The sequence below is a fragment of the Homo sapiens genome, chromosome 11, assembly GCF_000001405.40.
Source record: "Homo sapiens chromosome 11, GRCh38.p14 Primary Assembly".
In the NCBI taxonomy this organism is placed as follows: Eukaryota; Metazoa; Chordata; class Mammalia; order Primates; family Hominidae; genus Homo; species Homo sapiens.
Genome location: NC_000011.10, coordinates 45,789,497 through 45,813,324, shown reverse-complemented (window position 1 = coordinate 45,813,324; position 23,828 = coordinate 45,789,497). Strand labels below are relative to the sequence as shown.

The 23,828-nt window shown below is 49.5% G+C and overlaps 1 protein-coding gene across 7 annotated transcripts, besides 4 other annotated features; it reads right to left on the bottom strand.

Moving 5' to 3' along the window:
- On the bottom strand, positions 309-9,246 carry SLC35C1 (solute carrier family 35 member C1). Of its 7 annotated transcripts, none has more exons than NM_001145266.2 (3): positions 8,905-9,246; positions 6,989-7,515; positions 309-2,549 (listed from the first exon to the last, which is right to left on the bottom strand). In NM_001145266.2, exons 2-3 carry the CDS (start codon positions 7,482-7,484, stop codon positions 1,990-1,992), a joined length of 1,056 nt encoding a protein of 351 aa, NP_001138738.1. In that variant the 5' UTR covers positions 7,485-7,515; positions 8,905-9,246; the 3' UTR covers positions 309-1,989. The 7 variants fall into 7 exon arrangements, with proteins under 7 accessions (NP_001138738.1, NP_001412084.1, NP_001138737.1 ...); NM_001425155.1 differs by having other exon boundaries at positions 6,989-7,742; positions 8,808-8,919; NM_001145265.2 differs by having other exon boundaries at positions 8,808-8,919.
- Positions 5,898-5,957: an enhancer, noted in NCBI's record as "active region_4666". NCBI's record gives its function as "activates an Ori minimal core promoter by ATAC-STARR-seq in GM12878 lymphoblastoid cells {active_cell/tissue: GM12878}" and the evidence as "EXISTENCE:reporter gene assay evidence [ECO:0000049][PMID:35858748]".
- Positions 7,922-8,151: a silencer, noted in NCBI's record as "silent region_3288". NCBI's record gives its function as "represses an Ori minimal core promoter by ATAC-STARR-seq in GM12878 lymphoblastoid cells {active_cell/tissue: GM12878}" and the evidence as "EXISTENCE:reporter gene assay evidence [ECO:0000049][PMID:35858748]".
- Positions 8,882-9,051: a silencer, noted in NCBI's record as "silent region_3287". NCBI's record gives its function as "represses an Ori minimal core promoter by ATAC-STARR-seq in GM12878 lymphoblastoid cells {active_cell/tissue: GM12878}" and the evidence as "EXISTENCE:reporter gene assay evidence [ECO:0000049][PMID:35858748]".
- Positions 9,222-9,381: an enhancer, noted in NCBI's record as "active region_4665". NCBI's record gives its function as "activates an Ori minimal core promoter by ATAC-STARR-seq in GM12878 lymphoblastoid cells {active_cell/tissue: GM12878}" and the evidence as "EXISTENCE:reporter gene assay evidence [ECO:0000049][PMID:35858748]".

The following is a 23,828-nucleotide window of genomic DNA, read 5'->3' as shown; positions in this document are numbered from 1 at the left end:
CAGTAAATGGCAATTACGACTAATAGGAAACTTCAAGTCTGGTCACCTACCTTCCAGGAAGGAGCCTGGTATCCTTAGAAAGAACCAGCTCCTAGAAAGGCTGCCTGCTGGTGGGTGGGCTTGGTGAAGGCAGGGATGAGCCCTCCTTCCTGACAGATCCCCAGCTCCCCTCCACCCCAGGGCCCTGTTCACAAACCTTCTTCAGCCCTGCTGCCTCTGACAGGTCCCAACCTCCCCTCCACCCCCAGGCCCTGTTCACAAATCCTCTCCAGCCCTGCTGCCTCTTCCCTCAGGCCACACACACAGGATCTTATGGATTCTTTATTGAATCACAAACAACTCAGGGCATCAGGCCCCAGCAGCTGCATTAGAACCCATCTGGGATTGTGAGGGGACTGGAGAGGGAGGGGGGAGAAGACCCGCTCTCCCTAGCTTTTCACTATATAGAGTAAAAACATCAGAAATCACCCCAAGAGAAAGGACATACCAAATGCCCACCAGAAGGGCCAGGGACTGCAAGCCACCCTGAGCGCAGGAGGGTGTGGTGAAGGGTGGTATGGCCCCGAAATTTGTGTGTGTCCCCCACTCCCCCTGCAAATTCACATTGGAATTCTCACCCCCAAGGTGACAGTATTAGGAGGTGGGGCCTTTGGAGCTGATTGGGTCATGGGGGCGGAACCCTCATGAACAGGGTTGGAGTCCTTATAAAAGAGGCAGGAAGGAGCTTGCTTGTTTGTGCTTCTACCATTGAGGATACAGCGAGAAGGCACCATCTATGGATCGGGAAACAGCCCTCAGCGGAGTCCGAATCTGCTGGCCTCTTGATCTTGGGCGTCCCAGCCCCCCAGGACTGTGAGCAATACGTTTCTGTTGTTTGTAAGCCACCCGGCCTACGGCATTTTGATATAGGAGCTCGCTGGACTAACAGTGGGGCCAAGCAGGCTCTGTCAGCCACAACCTCAGGGAAGAATGTAAAGGTTGGTGTCTTACCATCACAAGGCAAGCGGCTCAGAACCAGCTGTAACACCTCCCTTGCAGAGATCTAGGGGCGCCAGACACAGCTGGGGTGGAAGGCTCCTAGTCTGGACCCTTGCTCCATCAGCCCCACCTGGGGAGGAAGGCTTCTGGGGAGGTAGAACTGGGAGAAGAGAGAAGCAGCTCCTTGGCTCTGCTTTCAGAAGGCTGTTACCTGGGCCAGGTGCTGGGAGACCAGAGGGACAGGTGCCACTCAGGGCCAGAGGAGCCACGCAGGACAATGTGATGTTAGGGACTGGGGGAGGATGTTAATGACCCTGCTTAACCTCTAAGAGAAGCATGGTTCCCTTGTGTTCAAAAGCTGGACATACAGGGTGTATAGATGGTGAGCACTTTCTCACAATCCACCCCATTCCCAGGCCACTGCCCAGCAGCCCCTGGGGATCTGCTGGTGTCAGAGGGAACTCGCTCATTTCCTCCCTCAGTCCAGGCCACACTTTCCTCCAAAGGAAGGCCGGTCTGTGGGCCCAGGGTGAGGCTGCCTGCCCACCGCAGACGGAAGGCTTCCCAACCCTCTCCAGGTGGCTGTGGTAGGGCCATCTCCCCTGAGTACAGTGAAGCCTTTGTGGCTTTGCCATTGCTGTCCCTTCAAGGTTGTTGCCTGTCCCTGTCCTCAGAGTGATGTGGAGGCAGACAGGCCCTGGAGGCAGAAGGAAGGGGTTCAACTCTCACTAGGGTGCTCCCTCGGGAAGGACAAAAACTCAGAAATACGAGAGGATAGAGAAGGGTTTGGCAACTTTCTGGTATTACTTGTAAACACTGGTTCCTTCAACTTTCTGATATTACTTGTAAACACTGGTTCCTTCTCAACCACCGTATTCTGATTGGGTCTATAAGTAGCACCCAGTCCACACCACAGCACGCTTCTGGGGTCCAGGAGACCGCCTTCACTACTGTGCTGGCCCCGCCTGTGTACGGGCCCCGGGGCCGGGCCATCCAGGGTGCCTGTGGTGCTCACACCCCCATGGCGCTCTTCTCGCTGTCTTTGGGGCTGGGCTCCTCCGGAGTCTTCTTCATCTCCCAGCCCCTGACCCAGGTGTAGGCGGAGGAGCCGCCCAGCACCATCATGTTGCTCGTCCACCAGAGGAAGCTCTTGGTCTCCTCGTAGTAGAGCACGGCCAGCACTGTCTGGGCACAGGCCTTGGCCGTGCCCGACACATTGTGGGTCAGCGGACTGGTGAACTTGATCTGCAGTCCTGTCACGTAGCCGATGGCAAAGCCAAACAGGCCGCCCAGCGTCATCATCCCCCAGAAGTGGGCACTGCCCAGCTGGGCAAAGTCACGCAGGGCCTGAAGCTCCCCGAGCAGCAGGAGCAGGGGCAGGAAGAGGATGCAGGCGTTGACGTTGTTGTAGAAAGTCAGGCGCCAGATGCTGCCGTCCACCGCCGGGAGCACCTTCGTGGTGTAGATGGCGTTGAGCGAGACACAGAGGCTAGCCAGCACGCCGAAGACGGTGCCCAGCCACGACAGGGTGCCTTCTGCCCCCTCCTGGTCCACACCAAGCCAGAAGCCCCCTGCAGTGGGGAGAGGAGGAGTGGGGAAGGGTGAGGAAGAGGGATGAGGACGAGGAGGAAGAAGGACAGAGGATCAGACACCAAATTTCACAGACTGAGTATTGCGGCCCTCCCCGTTCCTCCCCAGGCCTCCCTCCAATAAGCACAGCCAGAGTCTCCACTGCAGGCAAAGCACTCCACATGAACTATGGGAGCCGCCCAGGGCAAGAAAACCTCCTCTGGCAGCTTATCTGCTAGCAGAGGAGAAAGACATTAAAACAAATCTTCCCAGTTACTTCTTTAATTACAATTGTAAGAATTGTAATGAGGTCCATAAAGTAGTACAAGGTGCTGTGAGAGCCTGTAAGTGGGCGACTGTGCTGGCCTGGGGCATCTGAAAATAACAGTTGAACTGAGTTCTGAAGAATGAGTGCCACTTAGTGGTTAATGTGATTTAAGGTGACCCTGCGTAAATGACTTCCAGTGTCTAAGCCTTGGCTGCTTCTTGCATGGAATGGGAGCCTATGATGTCATCATGGGGCACATTAAGTTAGAATCTCTTGTGTCATTTGGGGCAGTGACTCTGAGACTCTCATCTTGTGTCACTTCCTGCTCAAAGAGCTTCCGTGGCTCCCCACTTCTGCCATGAGGACTACACTCCTTGGCGTGGCAGGCGGGGGTGCAGGCCCTTCCTCTGTCCTATGGTCGCCCCAGCTTCCCTGCTCGTCTCCCTGCTTCTCACCCTGGGCCTCAGTGTCCTTGTTCATGTCCTGTGCCAGAAACACCCTCCTCCTTTCTGGGGGATTCTACTCATCTGTCAAGGTCAAAGTTGGCTTCTCCTGGGGAATCCTTTCCTGATAATCCCAGAACCTGGACTCTTACTGCCTCGCTTTCCTGCAAAGCCCCTTGCCTGCTCTGGGCTGCTGGGCCCCTGCCCATGGTGACAGTCTGGTCTTTTTAGCCAGATCCCATGCTCCCAGAAGCCAGGGGCTGAACAATGCATGTTATACTTCCTGCCACAGCATCTGGCAACACGGGGCAGTGGGGAAAGTTTTGGGGTCAGAGGGATTTAGCCTCCAATCAGGCTCTGCAATTTAGAAGCTGAGTGGCCTGGGAGAAGTTACTTAACCACTCTGAGCTCTCTGGGTCACCTCCCTGTCCTCCACTCCAGCCAATCTACTCTCCACCTTGCAACTGATATGATCATCCTGAAGTCCAGATCGGTCCAGGCTGTGCCCTGGTGTGAAGCCTCTCTGTGGCTCTCCACTGCCTTCAGGAGAAATTCCACTCACTCACCACAGCTCTTAGGACCTGCACCACGTGGAGTCGGCCTGACTGGGCAGCCTTGTGTCTGGTGAGTCTTGCTGTGGCCCAGCCATGAAGAAGTGCACGTGCTCTTCCTTCTATCTAGAATGTTCTGTCCCTACTTCTTCCTCTAAACCCAGTTTCTAAACTTCCTCCAGAAGGCCTGCTTAGACTGCCCTGTCCCCGGGTCCCCTCCCTTGCCCAGAGCTCCCACAGCCCCTTTTATGCATGCCCCATCACAGCCCTTACTATGCTAGCGTAACTGTCACCACCATGCCCTCCAGGAGTGTAGGAGCTGAGGTTACCTTTTCCAAACTTGTATCCCCAAAGCCTGGCATGGTGCCTGGCATGTGTTTAGCCACCAATTACTAGTCGTGGAATGAATGAATGAAAGTTGTTATGGAGGTGGTTGTATTAAAGGAGACAGGATACTTCCTACATCATAGGCACTCAACACACAGCACTCTTCTCTTTTTCTCTTTGTTTTTTGAGACGGAGTCTCGCTGTGTCACCCTGGCTGGAGTACAGTGGTGCGATCTTGGCTCACTGCAACCTTCGCCTCCTGGGTTCAAGCGATTCTCGTGCCTCAGCCTCTTGAGTAGCTGGGATTACAGGGATGCGCCACCATGCCTGGCTAATTTTTGTATTTTCAGTAGAGAGGGGGCTTCACCATGTTGGCCAAGCTGGTCTTGAACTCTTGACCTCAGGTGATCTGCCCGCCTCAGCCTCCCCAAGTGCTGGGATTACAGGCATGAGCCACCATGCCCAGCCCAACCACAGAGCCCGACCCTCCTCTTTCTTGACAGAACCTTTGCACAAGGGGTACCCACAGACCTGCTGGGGGTAGGGTGAGGGGGGCAGAGGGCTGCACCACCCACTCACCTGCTTGGCTACAGCACCCCTAGCCCTCCTGGTGGTTACCTTCTGAGTCCAGAAGCAACTGCAACATCAATGTTCTAGAGCGACTCTTGCCCAGAAAGAACTTTTTTTTGAGACTGTGTCTTGCTCTGTCGCCCAGGCTGGAATGCAGTGGCGCGATCTTGGCTCAATGCAACTTCTGCCTCCCGGGTTCAAGCAATTATCCTGCCTCAGCCTCCCGAGTAGCTGGGATTACAGGCACATGCCACCACGCCCGGCTAATTTTTTGTATTTTTAGTAGAGACAGGGTTTCACCATGTTGGCCAGGCTGGTCTCGAACTACTGATCTCAGGTGATCCACCTGCCTCAGCCTCCCAAAGTGCTGGGATTACAGGCATGAGCCACTGTGCCTGGCCCAGAAGGAGCTTTGAAAGTTACTGTGTGACATGGGGGGCTAGGAGGGGAGGCCTAGAATAGTTGCCTGAGACTCGTCTTCCCCTACAAGGAGGAAGAAAGAGGAAACATTGCAGATAGGGAGCCAGGTCCTGGGCTGGCAGAGAGCGTCCACCTCCCTGGCCCCTGTCCCAGTCAGGCACGCCCGTGAATGCACCATTCTCAGAACCTCACCACTGGTTACTTGGATTACCTTTGGGATTTGGGCCCAGTTACCCTAGTGTCTTCACCTTCCTGCAAGCAAATTCTCCAACTAGGAGCCTCTACCCCTGAGGCCACTCCTGGCAGGGTCAGCAGGAATGAAGTAGAGAGCCCTGGGGCATCTGAGGAGGACAGGGAGGAGGGGAGGTACACCTGTTCCCTGGAGAGGGAAATGGAAGCAGGCTGGGAGAGTTCTGGCAGGGGGGGTCTTGCAGCTTCCCCTACTCTAACTGTGACCTTCTCCCTTCTCCCCTCTTGGACTTAGACCCAGCAGCCCTAGATCCAGCAGCTGCTCAACAAGGGGAAACATTTTCTAGGACAGGTGGCATGGGATGGGTCCCTTCCCCCACCAACCGGTGCATCTAGCCTGGGACCCTGAGCCATCAGCAAAGAATATGATATGTAGGCCAAATAAGATAAACTTTATAGCACCAGGAAAAACCAGCATAGGTTCAAATGAAGACCCCATTCCTAGATGACGCAGCCCTGGGAAGACTCGGAGGGAATGGGATGCTGGAGGCTCTCTAACGCAGCATGGGGCCCAGTAAAATATGGGCCCATCTAACCTGTGCTGTCCCATACCATAGCCCTCAGCCACATTTGGCTACTGAGCCCTTGAAATGTGGCTAGAAAATCAGGTTGTAACATCTGCAAATGAGGAAGTGAATGTTTAACATTTTGCTTAATTTTAACTAATTTAAATAAGTGGCCAATGGCTACTGCATTGAATACTGCAGTTCTAACCTCCAAGACGAGCAGAGGGGATAGAAGCACAGGCCTGGGAGTCTGGCCAATCTGGGTTTGCATCCCAGCCTGGCTGCTTGCTAGCTGTGTGGCCGTGGGCAAGTAATGTAACATCTCTGAGCCTCAGTTTCCTTGTTTGTATAGAGATGACCGCTGGTAGTGATGCCACAACCCAGGGGATCTCTGGGAGAACAAAGGAGATGCTATATGTGAAATAATTAGCATAATTTCCCCATCAATAATTATTATTTTCTGAGGGTCAAGTCCAGGAAGACAGCTGAGGCCTCTCAAAGCATATTGCTTGCTACTGTCTCAGGCGCTATCCTGAGCTGGCAGAGAGTGATGGTATATTTATTAAAAGACGTATTGTCCTCTACTAAGAGCACTGGCTGGGAAATCAGGACACCTGAGCTCTTGAGAAACAATAAAGTACAGTGGTCGGGCATGTGAACTGTGAAGCCAGATTGCTTGAGTTCAGATCCCAGCTCTGCCACTTATTAGCTGGGTGATCTTGGACAAGTTAGTTAACTTCTCTGTGCCTTGGTTTTTCCCTCTGTAAAATGTGGATTATAATCCCATCTTGTTATGAAGATTAGCTGAGTTAATATGGCTAAGATCCATGTGCCTGGCACATTTTAATCACTCAACAAATGTCAGTTGCTTTTGCTGCTGTTGTTACTATTATTATTACTATTGTTCTTGCCCCGGCTGGGCTCCTAACTTGCTGGGTGACCTTTAGTAAGTTACTTGCTCTCTCTGTGCCCCCAGGCTCTTTCTCCTATGACTGCTGCACCAAAGGAGCTGGGACAGATGAAGTCCTAGGATGCCTAGAAGAGTTGTTCTTCACTGCTTCAGTCCCCATGACCACTCTATCCCCCGTGGCCCCAGCTGCCACTCACCGATGATGATACCGCAGGTGAGCAGGGCATAGAAGGAGGTGGTCTGCTTGAGCAGCAGGTAGGAGAGCAGCACGTTGAAGACGGTGGTGAGTGAGCGGCCCACATTGTAGAAGGCCACACCGACGTACTTGAGGCAGAGGTTATTGAAGGTGATCATGCCGATGAAGACCACCGACAGGGGCAGGACGCTGCGGGCCACCCTGAGGTCCAGGCGCAAGCTGGGGAAGTCCACGGCACCAGGGCAGCAGGCGGCCAGAGCGCTGAGGCCTTTGCACAGCAGCGTGGTCACCAGGCACTGGTAGAAGGTGACGAAGATGGGGGTGTCCAGCCGCAGGGAGGGGCTGTCCAGCAGGTACTTATTAAGGAACACCATGGAGATGGAGGTGACCCAGTAGAGGGAGACCACCAGCGCGATCTGCAATGCCCGCAGCAGAAAGGGCTTCTCCCCGTTGGCCTCTGCCTCTGCAGAGGGGTCTGAGGCCCCGGTCAGCGCCATGTGCAGGATCCTGGACCGCTTCAGAGGGGCCCTATTCATGGTAGCAGAGGAGCTGGGTCACCCCGCGGCCAGAACTCTGATTCCCTGGAGTCCAGGGCAGTGAGCTCACTTGTGCTCTCCGCAAGGAAGCCGCAGCCCTCCATTGTCACATGTGGGCTGGCCTAAAGGCCTCCCCATTGTCCTCATGGATTGAGAAGTTCTGCTTTGGGGTGAGCCCAGTTGTGCTGCTCCACAACCTACTCCCACCCCGAGGGGGCTCTGAGACAAGACACAGGGCAAGGGAGAGGAATAGGATAAGGCGGTGAGGCCAGGACAGAGAAGACCTGTGAGGGGAGAAGAGGCTGGGGCCTAACAGGGAGGGGTCGCAGAGAGAAGGGAGGGGAGAGGAATGGCAGGGCGGGGCAGGAGTAGGTACGCGGGGCGAAGGTGCAGGAAAAGGACGCGTGGCAGAGTGGGAAGAGGTGCCGAGAGGGCGTCATGGGCGGCTGTGGGAGGGAGGGGCGGGCAGGGGGAGGGAGGCGTACAGGGAGCTGCCGGAGGCCGGGCGCGGCTGGAGGGAGGGCTGCGGAAGGGTCAGAGGGGCTCGGGGCTTGGGGCTGAAGGACGCGGGAGGGGGCTGGGCCGGCGCCCACGTCTCGCTGCCTTCCCGGGCTCTGTCGCCGGCTCAGCCCAGGAGCCTCCGGACATCCGAGGCCGACTCCCCGGGAGGCGGGCCCTGGACTCACTTCCTGACACGCCCCCACGTGGCCTTAAAGGGCCCGCACGCCCCGCCTTGCCCTTAAAGCGACAGCCCCAGAGAGGCGGAGTTCGCCAGTCCCCAGCCCCGCCCCTGCGCTCCGCTGCCCGCTGCTGGCGGGGGACCTCGGCAGCCACAGGTTTTTCTGGGTGCTTGAGCCTCGCCCTGCTTCCTGGAAGGGCTCCATCAACCTCGCCTGCCCACCCTCAGCTCCGTCCGCCCCGGAGCCTCCGTCCCCCGACTTGGCTAGGCTTGGCTCGCAGGTCCACTTCCCGGAACCCCGACCCAGGACCCGGGCGGCGCTACATCAGCCTGGACCCCTCCACCTCCGGAGACTCGCGTTGCAGCCCCGCGTCCCTCTGCCAATCCGAGCTCACTCTTCCATAACAATGTTGTGGTCCCCTCCTTTCCCCCCATTTTCACCGCCCCCAGGCCCTCTCCCAAGCCCGAGACCCCCGGCAGCGCTCCCCGAGGCCGGAGGCCACGCCGCCTCTCTCGGACTTCAGTTTGTCCTCCCTGTGCTCCTGTCGAGGTCCTCTGGGCGGCCCGGATCCGAGATTCCAAAGGCTCAAGACAGCATCTCTTACCCCTTCCAGAAAATACTGTTTCCCCGGCCGGTCCAGCCGCATCAGCTCCCGCGTCCCTGCCTGTGTCCCCGGGCCGCGAAGGCGACCTGGCGCTCACCTCCTCCGGTGCACTGGGCGCCCGCCCCGCGACCCCGTGCTGCATCTGCAGCGCCGCACCCTGGGCCGCGCCCGCGGGATCGACTTCCTGCTTTCCGCCCCGGGCCCGGGCACCTTGCCAGCCTCGCCGGCCTGTTCGCGGCATGGGCCCCGGGGGTGCCGGCGGAGAGGCGGTGATCCGGACGGTCGTGGGAGGAGGCCCTCTCCTCTTTCCAAGGCTACTCCTGTCCCTGGTACCCCCGCCCGCCCGGGACCCGGCTTCAGTTACCGCAGCTGGCACGTCCCGGGACTTGGCTGTATCCCTGGCCCGCCGCGCTACCGGCTTGCACTTCCAGAAGTGCGTGCGGGGACCGCTCGGATTCTTCCAGCTGGCAGTGAGGGGGAGGGTTCCCCGCCCCTTCCAGGGCCGGGGCCTGGGAAGTCTAGCCTGTGGTCTGCCACTCACCAGGCAGCCGGGGAGACCAGGAGGATCGACTTCTCTTGGTTCGCGCTCTAGCACCTGCGTTGGGCAGGCCACTTTCTCCGACGGCCTGAGTTATCTTCATGGTAAAACTAAGGGGCTAGGCTTGACCTGTGGGTCCCAACCTTCTTGCCCAGAACTCTAGGTGGTATGGTCGAACATAGATGTTTGTAATATTTCAAGCACCATTTAATTAGTGCCATTTAATTAACGGGTAAGATGATGTCATGGCTGGGATTTGTTTTAAAATACTAAGAATACTTACCAAAAATATTTTTTATTTTTATTTATTTATTCTTTTTGGGACGGAGTCTCGCTCCGTCGCCCAGGCTGGAGTGCAGTGGTGCTATTTCAGCTCACTGCAACCTCCGTCTCCCGGGTTCAAGCGATTCTCCTGCCTCAGCCTCCCGAATAGCTGGAATTACAGGCGTCCACCACCACGCCCGGTTATTTTTTGTATTTTTAGTAGAGACCGGGTTTCGCCGTGTTGGCCAGGCTGTTCTCTAACTCCTGACCTCAGGTGATCCGCCGGCCTCGGCCTCCCAAAGTGCTGGGATTACAAGCGTGAGCCACCGTGCCTGACCTCAAAAAGATTTTTTTTAAAAGGTTGATAGATTAAATAAGATAAGCCATTGATAGTTGTAGCTAGGCGTAGATACACAAGGACCCATTATAAGAGTTTCCTTACTTTTGTGTACATTTGCAAATTTCCAGAATAAAAAGGTAAAACCTATATAGTACGCTTAAACTCTCAGATCCTAACTGCACAAACCTTCACTGGAGCTGAGCGCAGCCCTGGGTGGGCTGTAGGGAAATGGGAGGGCTGCAGGCTGCAGTGAAGTAAACAGCTGCCCCACAACGAGCCGGGCCCACACCCTACCCTCTTCCACTAGCCCCGGGTACTAGCACTCCCCTCTTCCTCCTCAAGGAATGAGACTCTGCTTCCTAGTTGTGGGCTGTTCTCCACCTGGAGGATACCATCTGGTTACCTTGTCACTTTTGGAACTAAAATATCCCTTTGGGGAAAGAAAGACTCAAGAGGGACTGAGCTGGTCTCCTCAACCCCACCTGGAGAGTCTACCTCTGGGATTTTCCTTTGAAGCTGTGGGTTTTGGTTCATTAAGAGCAATTCGTATCTGTTCCAGTCTCTCCTCTCTTATGCCCGAGAGTTCACCATGACAAACAATTTAGTGACAGACAGGGCAAACTTGTCCCTGAGAGGCCCTGGTGATCTGGAAGGGCCTTCTCCTTAGCACATTAGCAGGAACTTGTCTGATGACTGCTGCCACCTTGAACTGGAGGGAAGAGATATATCTTGTATATAGGCCAGATGCACTTCGCTGAGAGAGGCCCAGGGGCAGTCAGTGCTGCGTGTGTGGGGGACAGTGTGGGCTCTCTATGGAGGCCAAAGTATACCCCTGTCTCCAATCTCTCACATCATACCTGAAATTCTGTCATTAGTGTCACTCCCTTGGATTAAGGTTGTTAACAGGCCAGTACAGCAAGTTTCCTGGATTCTAATCATTTTATCCCTTATGAGGGAAAGGAGGGGTGGGGATGTTTCTTAGGGGGTCTAAGGCCCCTGGGAATTGTGTACCTTGCATAAATGGTTTGCTTTTGAATTTTCTTTAAGGAATGTTAATTGTTTAAACCATCCACAAAGGGTGAAATTTTAGGTCTTGCCAACAGTGATTATCCAGGGTGTGAATTTGGTGTGAGGTAGAGCATAAGATCATCAACGTGGCAGCTGAAGGGCTGTAATAGTTCCTTTATGGGTGTAGTCTCATTTTCTTGCCTTGGCTGGGAGCCACTAATAATGTCAGCAGGAAATTATTTCTGCCAGTCACAGTGAACAGAACTAACTTCCCAGGTTCAGGGGTCAGTGGATCTGTACCTGTGCGGCTTGAGAACTTCTGGGAACACACAGATGTTGACTGTCTCACTCTGAGTTCAACAAGGACTCATGAGCCTACCCTATGTGATAGACACTCCTAGTTGTCTACCAAAATTCACTCCCCCATTCATCCAAAATAATTGGATTGTAGCTAGTCTTATGGTTGCCCAGCCAAAGACTACATTTCCCAGCCTTCCTTCTAAGTAGATGAACCATGTGACTTAGTGGATGGTGAAGGGAAGTGTCTTGGTGAGTTCAGCCTGCTATAACAAAAATACCATAGATTGAGCAGCTTAAACAGTAAGCATTTATTTCTCACAGTCTGGAGGCTGGGAGGTCCAAGATCAAGGCCCAGGTGGATCTGGTGTCTGGCAAGGGGCTGCTTCCAGCTTGTAGAAGGCTGCTTTCTCCTTCTGTCTTCACCTGGCACATAGATGGGGGTGGAGTGGGGGGAGGATCTCATGTCTTTTCTTATAAGAGCACTAATCCCACCATGAGGGCTCCACTCTCATGACCTAATTACCTTCCAAAGACCCATCCCCAAATACCATCATATTGGGGCTTAGGGGTCCATTGGAGTATATAAATTTTGGAGGGATACCTCCAGTCTATAGCAACACGTGAGATATGCTACTTTCTAGGTCTTTAAAACTTTAGGAGTGTGTTCCTCCATGCTTTTTCTTCCTCTTCCCATAACCTGGAAACCAAATGCATCTATAAGCCAGTCTTGACCATGAGGACAAGGACAACGTCTTAGAGGCTGTGGAGGAATGTGATGGAAAAAGCCGAGGTCCCTGATTCTGTGGAGCAGAGATACCTGCCACTGTGGACTGTGGGAAATCAACTTATGTTCCTGCATACCTACACAGTTCTAAAGGGGTCTCTTTGCTACAGCAACAAGGCCTTTACCCACATGCCTACTGGAATGGCATTTCCTCCTCACACACATATTTTCTAGGCAAAATTGAGAAGGCATGAAATTGCTTAGTCTAATTTCTCTGTTCCTCTCTCTCTCTTTTGCTTTATCTCTCACAGTTTCCCATCCATCCATCCATCCATCCATCCATCCATCCATCCATCCATCCAACTGTTCATCCATCCAACCATCCATCCATCCGTCTGTCCATCCTGTCCTTATCCAGGACCTAGCACAATGCCTGCCACAGTAGGTGCCTAGTGCCTCGTTGTGGAATGAATGGAAGTCAGACCATGGGTAGGAATGCCTGGAAATCAGGGCCAATTTAAGAACCGTATTGACCCTAATCCCTGAAGTTTATAAGGCTTCTCATTCATCCCACATATAATTCAAAGTAAAAATTAACACTAAACTACAAAATACATGTAAGCAGAGCAAAAATCTTTTTTTTCCTCATTATTACTGGAATGCTCTTTTGAAAATAATAAGCTATTTCCAGAAAAAAATTATGTCTTCCTTTTCTAGTACTTGTGGCAGATGCTACCAATCATCTATTTCAGGAGTTGGCAAATTTTTTTTGTAAAAGGCCAGAGAGTAAGTGTTTCAGATTCTGTGGGCCATATAGTCTCTGTCGAAAGTACTCAACACTGCTATTGTAGTATTGTAAACAAATGGATACAGCTGCATTTCAATAAAACTTTATTTATAAAAATGGAGGAATGGACAGAAGTTGGTTAATGGGTACGAAAATACAGTTTTAGATAGAAGGACTAAGTTCTAGTATTTGATAGTACAGTAGAAGAATTATAGTTAACAATAACTTATTGTATATTTCAAAATAGCTAGAAGAGAAGAACTGTAATGCTCCTAACACAAAAGATAAATGTTTGAGGTAATGGGTATCCCAATTACCCTGATTTAATCATTATACATTATATACATGTATCAAAATATCACATGTACTCAAAAAATACAATTATGATATATCAATAATTTTTTAAACATTAAACAAGTAGTGGACCAGATTTGGTTCACTGGTTGTAGTTTGCAGACCTCTGGTTTACTCTATATTAAATTATTCTTCTTGGCCGGGCATGGTGGCTCACGCCTGTAATCCCAGCACTTTGGGAGGCTGAGGTGGGCGGATCACTTGAGGCCAGGAGTTTGAGACCTGCCTGGCCAACATGGTGAAATCCAGTCTCTATTAAAAATACAAAAATTAGCTCAGCGTGGTGGTGCATGTCTGTAGTCCTAGCTACTCGGGGGGCTGACATATGAGAATTGCTTGAGCCTAGGAGGCAGAGGTTGTAGTGAGCTGAGATTGTGCCACTGTACTCCAGCTTGGGCAACAGAGTGAGACTCTGTCTCAAAATAAATAAATAAATAAATAAATAAATAAATAAATAAATTCTTCTTTCTTACTAACATTACCCATATTTTGTTTGTAAGTCAACATGTCAACATGTTTCACCTCAAACTGGTTACTTGCAGCTAGAGGTGACCATGTGACATAATTTTGGCCAATGAGTAGTAAGCTGAGGATTTCTGGGAAAGTTTTTGCTTTTTGCGATAGGTATAGACTTATTTGCTGTTTTTTTTTTTTTTTTTTTTTTTCCCCTCCTTTGTTCTGCCTATAATGTGGAACTGATGTCTGGAAAGGCGGCAGCCATCTTGTGGCCATGAGGCAAAAGCTACGAAGAGGAAAACTAAGGATGGCAGAACTAAGGATGGCAGGACAGCTGGGAGCTGTCCTGAGTCCTTTAGAGCTTGGCTAAGCTGCCCTCTCAGCTCTGGGCTGCCTAAGCCTTACTGTAGGAGATGAATAACCCCTATCAGTTTAAACCGCTCCAGGATGGTATTCTGGTTTTGGCTGTGGAGGAAAGTCCTAATGTAAACAGTGCTCTATTGAGCAATTCAGTGTTGCTGGAACTCATGTTGAAGGTTCCAGGAAGGCTCGGGACTGCGTAGTTTCTGGGTCTGGGGCAGCAATGTGGAGGATTCACTTGTCAGGGAGTGAACCCATGCTGATGAGCTAAAGGTGGGGTGGAGAATTCCAAAGGCAGGGCCCACTTGCCAGACAAGGATTGGGAGTGGGAGAGTCAGAACAAGGACAAACAAATCCCAAAGCATGAGATGTGTGGCCAGAAACGGGGGGAGGGGATTCTTCAGGCAAGAACGGGAAATAGGCAGGGGATTGGCACGGAGCTGGCTCCGCTTTCACAATGACACTTACGAGGCGTCACCTTGCATTCCTGGTCTGGCTCCTGGGCAGTGGCTGACTTTGGACGGTGTTGGCCTTTTTGGATCTGTTGAGATGTAGAGTAGTGATATGGTCTGGCTCTGTGTCCCCACCCAAATCCTGTGTTGAACTGTAATCCCCAGTGTTGGAGGTGGGGCCTGGAGGGAGGTGATCGGATCACAGGGATGGTTTCAGATGGTTTAGCATCATCTCCCTAGTGCTGTCTCATGACAGAGTTCTCCCAAGATCTGGTTGTTTAAAAGTGTGTAGCACCTTCTGCTTTGCTCTCTTCCTCCCTCTCCAGCCATGTGAGACGTGACTGATTTCTCTTTACCTTCTGCCATGATTGTAAGTTTCCTGAGGCCTCCCCAGCCATGCTTCCTGTACAGCCTGCAGAGCTGCGAGTCAGTTAAACCTCTTTTTTAAATAAATTACCCAGTCTCAGGTAGTTCTTTGTAGCAGTGTGAGAATGGACTAATACAAGTAGTAAAAAGCATTACTTCACAAAACTCCCGAAATATGCATCTGATTAATCTCTGAGCAGGAGTGATGTTTCCCCAGTCCTAATCCATTGGGAGTAATGGTGTCTGCCCCTCTTGGTGGAGGGTGTGTTACCAGCAGCTAACATTTATTGGAGATTGGCTTCATACCAGGTGGTTTATATACAACATGTTAGTCCTCACAACAATGCTGTGAGGTAGAGTCCACCATCATATTCTTATTTTCCAGAGGGAGAAATTGAGACACAGAGATGTTAAGTCTTTGGTTCAAGGCCACCCATGAGGAGGTAAGAGCTGGATTTGAACCCAGGCTAGTTTGACTTCTGAGCAGAAGTTTATCCTGTTGCATGAGCTCACCTTACTCCCAGAGAGTTTTCCAATTGGTCTTCTAGGTCCTTGGGCCTATGGAGTGACCCTGGCCTTGCTGCTCTCCGTCCTGCTGTTGAAGGGCAGATACGTGCCTAGGGTTGGATTGCACCAGTCCCAGGGTTCTTTCCATGCTGGTACTTGAGAACCCTCTGACTGATCCATTATCTGGTCTTTGTCTGTAGCTTTTCCACCCATTAGTTTTATCTCCCACCTAACTGTAAGCTCCGTGGTAGTAGAGAGGATGTCTAGGGATCATGATAGCTAATAGTTATTGGGCACTTGCTGTGTGCTCTGCCCTGGCCTCAACACTGCATGGATTAATTCCTCTAATCCCCATGATACCTCTGTGAATTGGGCATTCTTATTCCATTTTACAGAAGAGGAAACTGAGGTCTGGAGAGGTTAAGTTAACTTGCCTAAGGTCATAGGGGCTGACAAATGGCAGAGCTGGGATTTGAACCCCAGGCCGACTGATTTACTCCCTTAACTATTCATGTTATTCTGCCTCTCCTTGTGTATATAGCACTTTGTGGTTTACAAAGCATTTTCACCCACATTTAAAAAGGCTCTCAGAACATCAGGGCTTCAAAATACCTTAGAGATTGCCCACTCCTCCTCATTTTACAGAGAATGAATAGGTCAAGAGAGGAATGAGTTGCTCAGGGTCACACAGTTTATGAAAGGGTGAGACAGGACTGGAACCCCACTCTCCTAACTGTTCATAGATAGCCCTGCCAGACCCCAGGCTCCTTCCCTGCCCTGTGAGCTCTCTAAGCACTGGGGCTGCATCATAGGCATCCTTAGGCCTCTGGCCCCTAGCACAGTACCTTGCACACAATAGGTGCTCAGGAAGTGTGCACTGAATGGATATGAGCCCAGGGCTCACGTCATTATTAGACACACCACTCCATTCCAGTACATCTTTGGTATGTCTCATGGCATGGGGCACAATGGCCGGCATATAGTCGGTGTACTGTGTTGAATAGTATCCCCCACAAATTCATACCCAGAACCCCAGAATATATGACCTCACTTGGAAATAGGATTATTGCAGCTGTATTGAGTTAAAATGGGTTCATACTGGATTAAGGTGGGCCCTCAGTCCTATGACTTGTGTCCTTGTAAGGAGAGGGAGATTTGGTGATGCAGAGACGCAGAGTGGGCACACATGGCTGAAAGGCCTCGTTAAGATGGAGGCAGAAGGTAGAAATAGGACTAGTGCAGCGCCAGGCCGAGAATCTCCAAGGATTGTTGGCAAGCTCCCGAAACTTGGAGAGAGGCACAGAACAGATTCCTCCAGGAGGAACCAACACAACTGACACCGGCTGATTTTTGCCTTCTGGCCTCCTGAACTGTGAGAGAATACATTTTTGTTGTTTTCAGCTACAAGTCTGTGGTAATTTGTTACAGCAGGTCTAGGAAACTAATGTAGTAGGTCTGTGAAAAACAAAATCAGAAACTGTTGCTTCACTGATAGATCCCAGGGGGACCACAAAAGCAACAGCTTTTGGCCAGGCGCAGTGGCTCACTCTCTGTCACTTTGGGAGGCCGAGGCAGGCAGATCACCTGAGGTCAAGAGTTCGAGACCAGCTTGGCCAACATGGTGAAACCCCATCTCTACTAAAAATACAAAAATTAGCCGGGCATAGTGGTGGGTGCCTGTAATCCTAGCTACTCGGGAGGCTGATGCAGGAGTATCACTTGAACCTGGGAGGTGGAGGTTGCAGTGAGCCAAGATTGTGCCATTGCACTCCAGCCTGGGCGACGGGCAAAACTCGGTCTCAAAAAAAAAAAAAAAAAAAAGAAGCAACAGCTTTGTCTTAATCTTGGCTGGGGATGAGGGGAGAGAGGGTTCAGTGGCTAAAACACTTCACTCTGCAAGTCCATGGCACAGATCCACCTGGAAAGACATTGAGGCATGGTGGAAACCTCCCTAGACTTTTAGTTCTTGGCCTGGTGGCTACAGTCTTGAGATTTTTAGATAATTTCTCCATCACTCTAGACTTCAGTTTTCCCATCAGTAAGATGGAAGAGGAGCCAGGCTTAATAGCTTCTAAGGTAAAAGACTCCGATTCTCATCCCAGATGGTAAGTGGGTTGTAGGGAAGGGCCTGTTGAAGCCAAATGGAACTTATTGGCCCATGTCACTGGGAAGTCTCAGAGATCTACCAGGTTTAAGTGCAGCTTGACCCAGTTATTACAGATCCTAGTCTAGGCTCTTATCTAAGTAGTGGTTTTGCTCTGAGGCTCCATGGGATGGCAAAATGGCTTCAACTATTCCACACCTTACACCATCTGGTTGAAGTCTGGTGGGGGAAAAAACAATCACTGTTCTTCCACAGTCTTGAGGTACACTCTGATTAGTTGGCTCAGGTCACATGACCACCCTGACCAATCACGGTGGCCAAGCAGATAAGACCAGCGCTCTGGTTTAAGCCTGTGTCACAAGCTCCACTCCCTGGGAACTGGGGGTTCCTAGCCAAAGGTCCAGACAAGGTGGGCTGAGAGTCGGGGAGGGCTCTGCAAGTGAATTTTGGGAGGCGTTATCACAAGGGGATGAATGCTGGATGGCAAGCTACCAGGGTCCACATGAGGAGCCTGCCTTGGAAGTGGGGAAGGCAATCTGGAAGGTTCCCACTTTGTTCAGCGCTCTCCCACACTCATCCCTACACCCGGCTAATGTATATTTCAGGGCTCAGTGCAGATGTCCCTTCCTTGGGGAGGCCTTCCCACTAGATTCGGTCTTCTCGATGGACACTCTGAGCTGCTCCTGTCCATTCCTTTTGTGATGAGACATGAAGGAGGTATGCGCAGGAGGCATCTAGTAAGAGCGTCCTTTTTTTTTTTTTCTTTTTTTTTGAGATGGAGTCTCGCTCTGTCACCCAGGCTGGAGTGCATTGGCGTGATCTTGGCTCACTGCAACCTCCGCCTCCCGGGTTCAAGCAATTCTCCTACCTCAGCCTCCCGAGTAGCTGGGATTACAGGCAGACGCCACCATGCCCTGCTCATTTTATTTTTATTTTTTATTTTCAGTAGAGATGGGATTTCGCCATGTTGGCCAGGCTGGTCTCAAACTCCTGACCTCAAGTGATCTGCCTACCTCGTCCTCCCAAAGTGCTGGGATTACAGATGTGAGCCACTGCGTCTGGGCCCCATTTCTTGTTGGCAGTGTCCCACCTCAGCTGTTTTAGTATTCTGGGGCCATCAACCAAGACACCTGCTCTCCTCTAGGCAAAGGGCATGACCTAGCCGAGGGTACATAACCCAGGCAAGGCTAATAAGCCAATTATGTACTTTTTCTGCCTCTGAAATGGAATCCAGAGCAGATGCAACAACAACAAAGCCTGAAATTGGTTATAGCTGATTCGCAGTTGCAGAAACATCCAGAGAGACCATTCATGGTTTCCTGCAACTGAGATTTCCAGAGCTGCCCTGCTTGTGCTTCCATCCCAGCCTGATTCTTCAGCTTTTTCCTCAGTTCTGTGAGCTTCCCTGGACTCTTTCATTAACCATTTCTTTGCATAACTTGGCTGGAGTCTGTATCCGTTGCTTGCAATCAGAGAACCCTAGATAACATTGTGGGCATTTATCGCTGTCCAAGGTGAGAGGTTAGGGCAGGAACTGGCCAGTGCCAGGGAGTGTGTCTGGACCTCACAGCCCCACCTTCTTCTTAAGTGGTGGGGTTCCAAGAGCAGGGGCAGGGAGAAAGGAAAAGAGCCGGGCAGCAGGAAGTGTAGATCAGGTTGTGTACATACTGGTGTGTTTGCAGAAGGGCTGCCAGCAGGTGGGTGCAGGTTAAGGTTGGCTTCTTTCTCTCTGTCCCTGCTGTAAACCTGGCAGGTGCAATGAGGTGGTGGTGAGGTGGGCTGCTGTGGATATCTGGGAATTTGAACTCAGTTTAATTTAACAAACATCTTCCGAATGCTCTTTCTGTTTTCCCCATCCCTAGGTTTACTGTTCAGTTCAGATGATTTAGGGACATCTCACCCTGGCATGCTGATAGCACTTTTAACCTTTCATGGGTTTTGAATGGTCTGAAATGAACATCAAGAACCCAAGTTTAACATGCAGATTATATAAATGAATGAATGACGACATAAGTCAACCGAGTTAAGCAATTTCAATTTTGGAGCCATAGAATCCATAACAAGAGTCCTCTCACTAATTTTTTTTTTTTTTTTTTTGCTTTCTTCCCCTCTCTCTTGTGGTACAGCAGAGCAATGGAAACCTTACCTTTTAAAATGACATGGACCTAGGTTCAGGTCTTGGGTTCGCTGCTTTATAAGCTAAGCTGTATTTGTTTGTTTGTTTGTTTGTTTTGAGACAGGGTTTTTGCTGTTACCCAGGCAGTACAGTGATGCGATCATGGCTCACTGCAGCCTCCACCTCCCGGGCTCAGGAGATCCTCTCACCTCAGCCTCCCAAGTACCTGGGACTACAGGTATGTGGCTAATTTAAAAAAAATTTTTTTTTGTAGAGACGAGGTTTCACTATGTTGCCCAAGCTTCTCTTCAACTCCTGGGCTTAAGGGATCTGCCCACCTGGGCCTCTCAAAGGATTACACGCCTACTGCACCCGGCCTGAAAGCTGTATTTGTAGGCAGAGTTTCCCTCTGTCACCCAGGCTGGAGTGCAATGGCATGATCTTGGTACACTGCAACCTCTGCCTCCCGGGTTTAAGTGATTCTTGTGCCTCAGCCTCCTTAGTTGGTGGGATTACAGGCATATGCCACCATGCGCTACTAAATTTTGCATTTTCATTAGAGACGGGGTTTTTCCTTCTTGGCCAGGCTGGTCTTGAACTTGAAAGCTGTATGTTCTTTTTTTGTTTTTTGAGAGGGAATCTTGCTTTTTTTGCCCAGGCTGGAGTGCAGTGACGCAATCTCAGCTCACTGCAGCCTCCGCCTCCCGGCTTGAAGCAATTCTCCTGCCTCAGCCTCCTGAGCAGCTGGGATTACAGGTGCCTGCCACCATGTTCGGCTAATTTTTATATTTTTAGTAGAGATGGGGTTTCACCATGTTGTTCAGGCTGGTCTCAAACTCCTCACCTCAGGTTATCTGCCCATCTCAGCCTCCCAAAGTGCTGGGGTTACAGGTGTGAGCCACCGCTCCCAGCAGAATGCTGTATCTTAAAATAGAGAATTGTGATAATATATTACTTAGCATAGTGTCTGTCATTTAGTTACCTATTATTATTTTTCCTTGTGTTTTTTTTCCCTGTGCTGGGTTTTCAACTGTTCCTAAGAATCCTCTTGGCACTGGGCACATTCTTTATCATTGCACTAACACTCTGTCAGTTAGCTATTGCTGTGTAACAAGGCTTTTCAAAATTTGGCTCATGAATCTATGGGTGAATTAGGCAGTTCTGCTGATCTTGGCTGGGCTTACATGTTTGGTGGTCAGCTGACTATAGATTGGTTTAGGATCATCTCAGTTGGGATAACTGGGCTCCCCTTCATGGGGTCTCTCATCCTTCAAGAGGCTAGCCTGGGATTGTTCTTTATTATTATTATTTTTTGAGATGGAGTCTCCCTCTGTTGCCCATGCTAGAGTGCAGTGGCGCGATCTTGGCTCACTGCAACCTCCGCCTCCTGGGTTCAAGTGATTCTCCTGTCTCAGCCTCCTGAGTAGCTGGGACTACAGGCACGTGCCACCATGCCTGGCTAATCTATCTGTCTATCTATCTATCTATCTATCTATCTATCTATCTATCTATCTATCTATATATTTTTAGTAGAGACGGGGTTTCACCATGTTGGCCAGGCTGGTCTCAAACTCCTGACCTCAGGTGATCTGCCTGCCTTGGCCTCCCAAAGTGCTGGGATTACAGGCATGAGCCACTGCACCCGGCCGGCTTATTCTTATGGTGATCAGAGATCTGAGAGAGAGCAACAGTAGCAGGGCCTCTTGAAACTTATGCTCAGAATTGGTACAACATCACTTCTGCCTTATTTATTCTACTGGCCAAAGCACACCCCTAGGCAGAGCAGAGTCAGAGTGTGAGGAGGGTACAAACTTACAGGACAGCATATCTACCTGTATTGAATACAGGTAGGACAATAGTTGGGACTATTAATGCATTGAAATCTATCTGATACACTATAGTCTACTAATTGTTTACTTCTCTCTCTCCAACCAGACTCTGTTTTTTTTTACTGCTGGATTCTTTGTGCCTAGCACCAAGCTTGGCGCATAGTAGGTGTTCAATGAACATTTGTTGACTGAGTCAATGAAGAGCTGGACTGTGGAGCTGTCCCTGGCTTGGGAGCCAGTTGCCTGATCATTCCTAATCTAGATGAGAACCTTTGTGAGTCAGTAGGCATTGAAGTTTGGTTTCAGCCTTCCAACTCAGCCAAATTCTTCTGTTTCACCTGGGTTTTGGCCTTTGGAAGGTAAATAGTTGAATGCTTATTTTGGTGTCATTCTGACATCTCTGAAATTTTGCAAATCAATGGTCTTGTGATTGAGAAAGGAACATAATATTTAACCAGTGTAATTACATCAGGAATACAAACAAGGCAGCTCATTTGGATTTATCATTAATATCTGGACATTCATTTTCAGACATAGGTAAATATTTTAAAAGTCACTTGAACTGAAAAATCTCCTTTCATGCTTTATATGTTGAAATTATTTCTCTCAGTTGGTGAATACACATATATTATTCCAGGATAAAATAGTACAATAATTAATGATAATTGAAAGATGTGAACTTTATTTGCAAACGTAATTGTTAAGTTTCAAATATTTAAATAAATAGAAAATAAACTGATAGTTCATATTAATAATAAAAGAGTGTGTTAGCTAGATAACTTTAGGAAGAACATTTTATTCTTTAGGAGCCAACAAATGTTTATACAAATTTAAATAAGAATACCTAGGCAGAATAATAGAGATTCAATTATCTTCTATAATTCCAATCTTTATAGAATTATTTGGCAGAATAGCAGTTTAAACATTAAATCAAAGAATTTTTAAGAACTATATTTAACTTGTAGTTATTTAATTCGACTTAGACCATTAATCTCTTAAGAAAATGTCTACTTGAGAATTAGTCATAACTTGTGGGATCAATTAAGAGTAAAATGTCTGTTTTGCTACTTCAAAATTTTATAAGGAAGAAAAATTCTGATATTAAGTGCAAGATCCATGATAGATTAACTTCCATCCAAATTCATTCAAATATGATAAAGAATATTAAAAATATGAAAGAAAAAAGAAAGTGGTTAAAAATAAAGAAGTATCTCCGTTTTTTTTTTTTTTTTTTTTTTTTTTACAAGTACAAAGATCTTGTTTTGGGCCAGGCATGGTGGCTCACGTCTGTAATCCCAGCACTTTGAGAGGCCAGGCGGGCAGATCGCCTGAGGTCAGGAGTTCGAGACCACCCTGGCCATCTCTACTAAAACTGCGAAAACTAGCCGGGCGTCGTGGCAGTCCCCTTTAATTCCAGCTACTTGGGAGGCTGAGGCAGGAGAATCGCTTGAACCCAGGAGACGGAGGTTGCAGTGAGCTGAGATCGTGCCACTGCACTCCAGCCTGGGTGACAGAGTGAGACTCTATCTCAAAAAAAAAATCTTGTTTTTTTCACTAACTTCAGTTGAAAATGAGAGACTACTTAGTATGACAAATGTGCAGTGTGTGATTTTGAGAGCAATGGAACCTTTTAAGGTACAGAGAAGGTAGCATTCAGTTTTTTTGAGACAGAGTCTTGCTCTGTCTCCCAGGCTGGAGTGCAGTGGTGCTATCTCGGCTCACTGCAACCTCCACCTCCTGGGTTCAAGTGATTCTCCTGCCTCAGCCTCCTGAGTAGCTGAGATTACAGGTACACGCCACCACACCCAGCTACTTTTTGTATGTTTAGTAGTGACGGGGTTTCATCATGTTGCCCAGGCTGGTCTCGAATTCCTGATCTCAAGTGATCCGCCTGCTTCAGCCTCCCAAAGTGCTGGGATTACAGTCGTGAGCCACCATGCCTTGCTGAAAGTAGCATTCCTGCACATAATTTCAAATTTCTTTAAAGTTAGGTTTATTGAGTTATGTGTTACATACAGGAAAATTTATCATTCTTAGGGTGTGCAGTTTTATGAGTTTTAACAAATGTCTATACTTGGGTAATCACCATAAAATCAAGATAAGGAATAGTTCTATCACCCTAAAAAGTTCCCTCTGGTCATCAGGAAACTAATTTCCCTACCTAGTTTTGGCTTTTCCATAATGTCTTACAAATGGAATCATATAGTATATAGCCTTTTGTGTCTGACTTCTTTCACTTAACATGGTGCTTTTAAGGTTCATCCATGTTGTTGCATGTATCAGTCGTTGGTTCCTTTTATCATGTACCACAGTATGTTTTCCAGTCACCAGTTGATGGACTGTTATAACAAAATACCACAGACTGGGTGGCTTAAACAACATACATTCATTTCTCAAAGTTCTAGAGGCTGGGAAGTCCAAGATCAAGGTGCCCTCAAAGTAAGTTTCATTCTTTTTTTTTTTTTGAGATGGAGTCTTGCTCTGTCGCCCAGGCTGTAGTGCAGTGGCGCGATTCT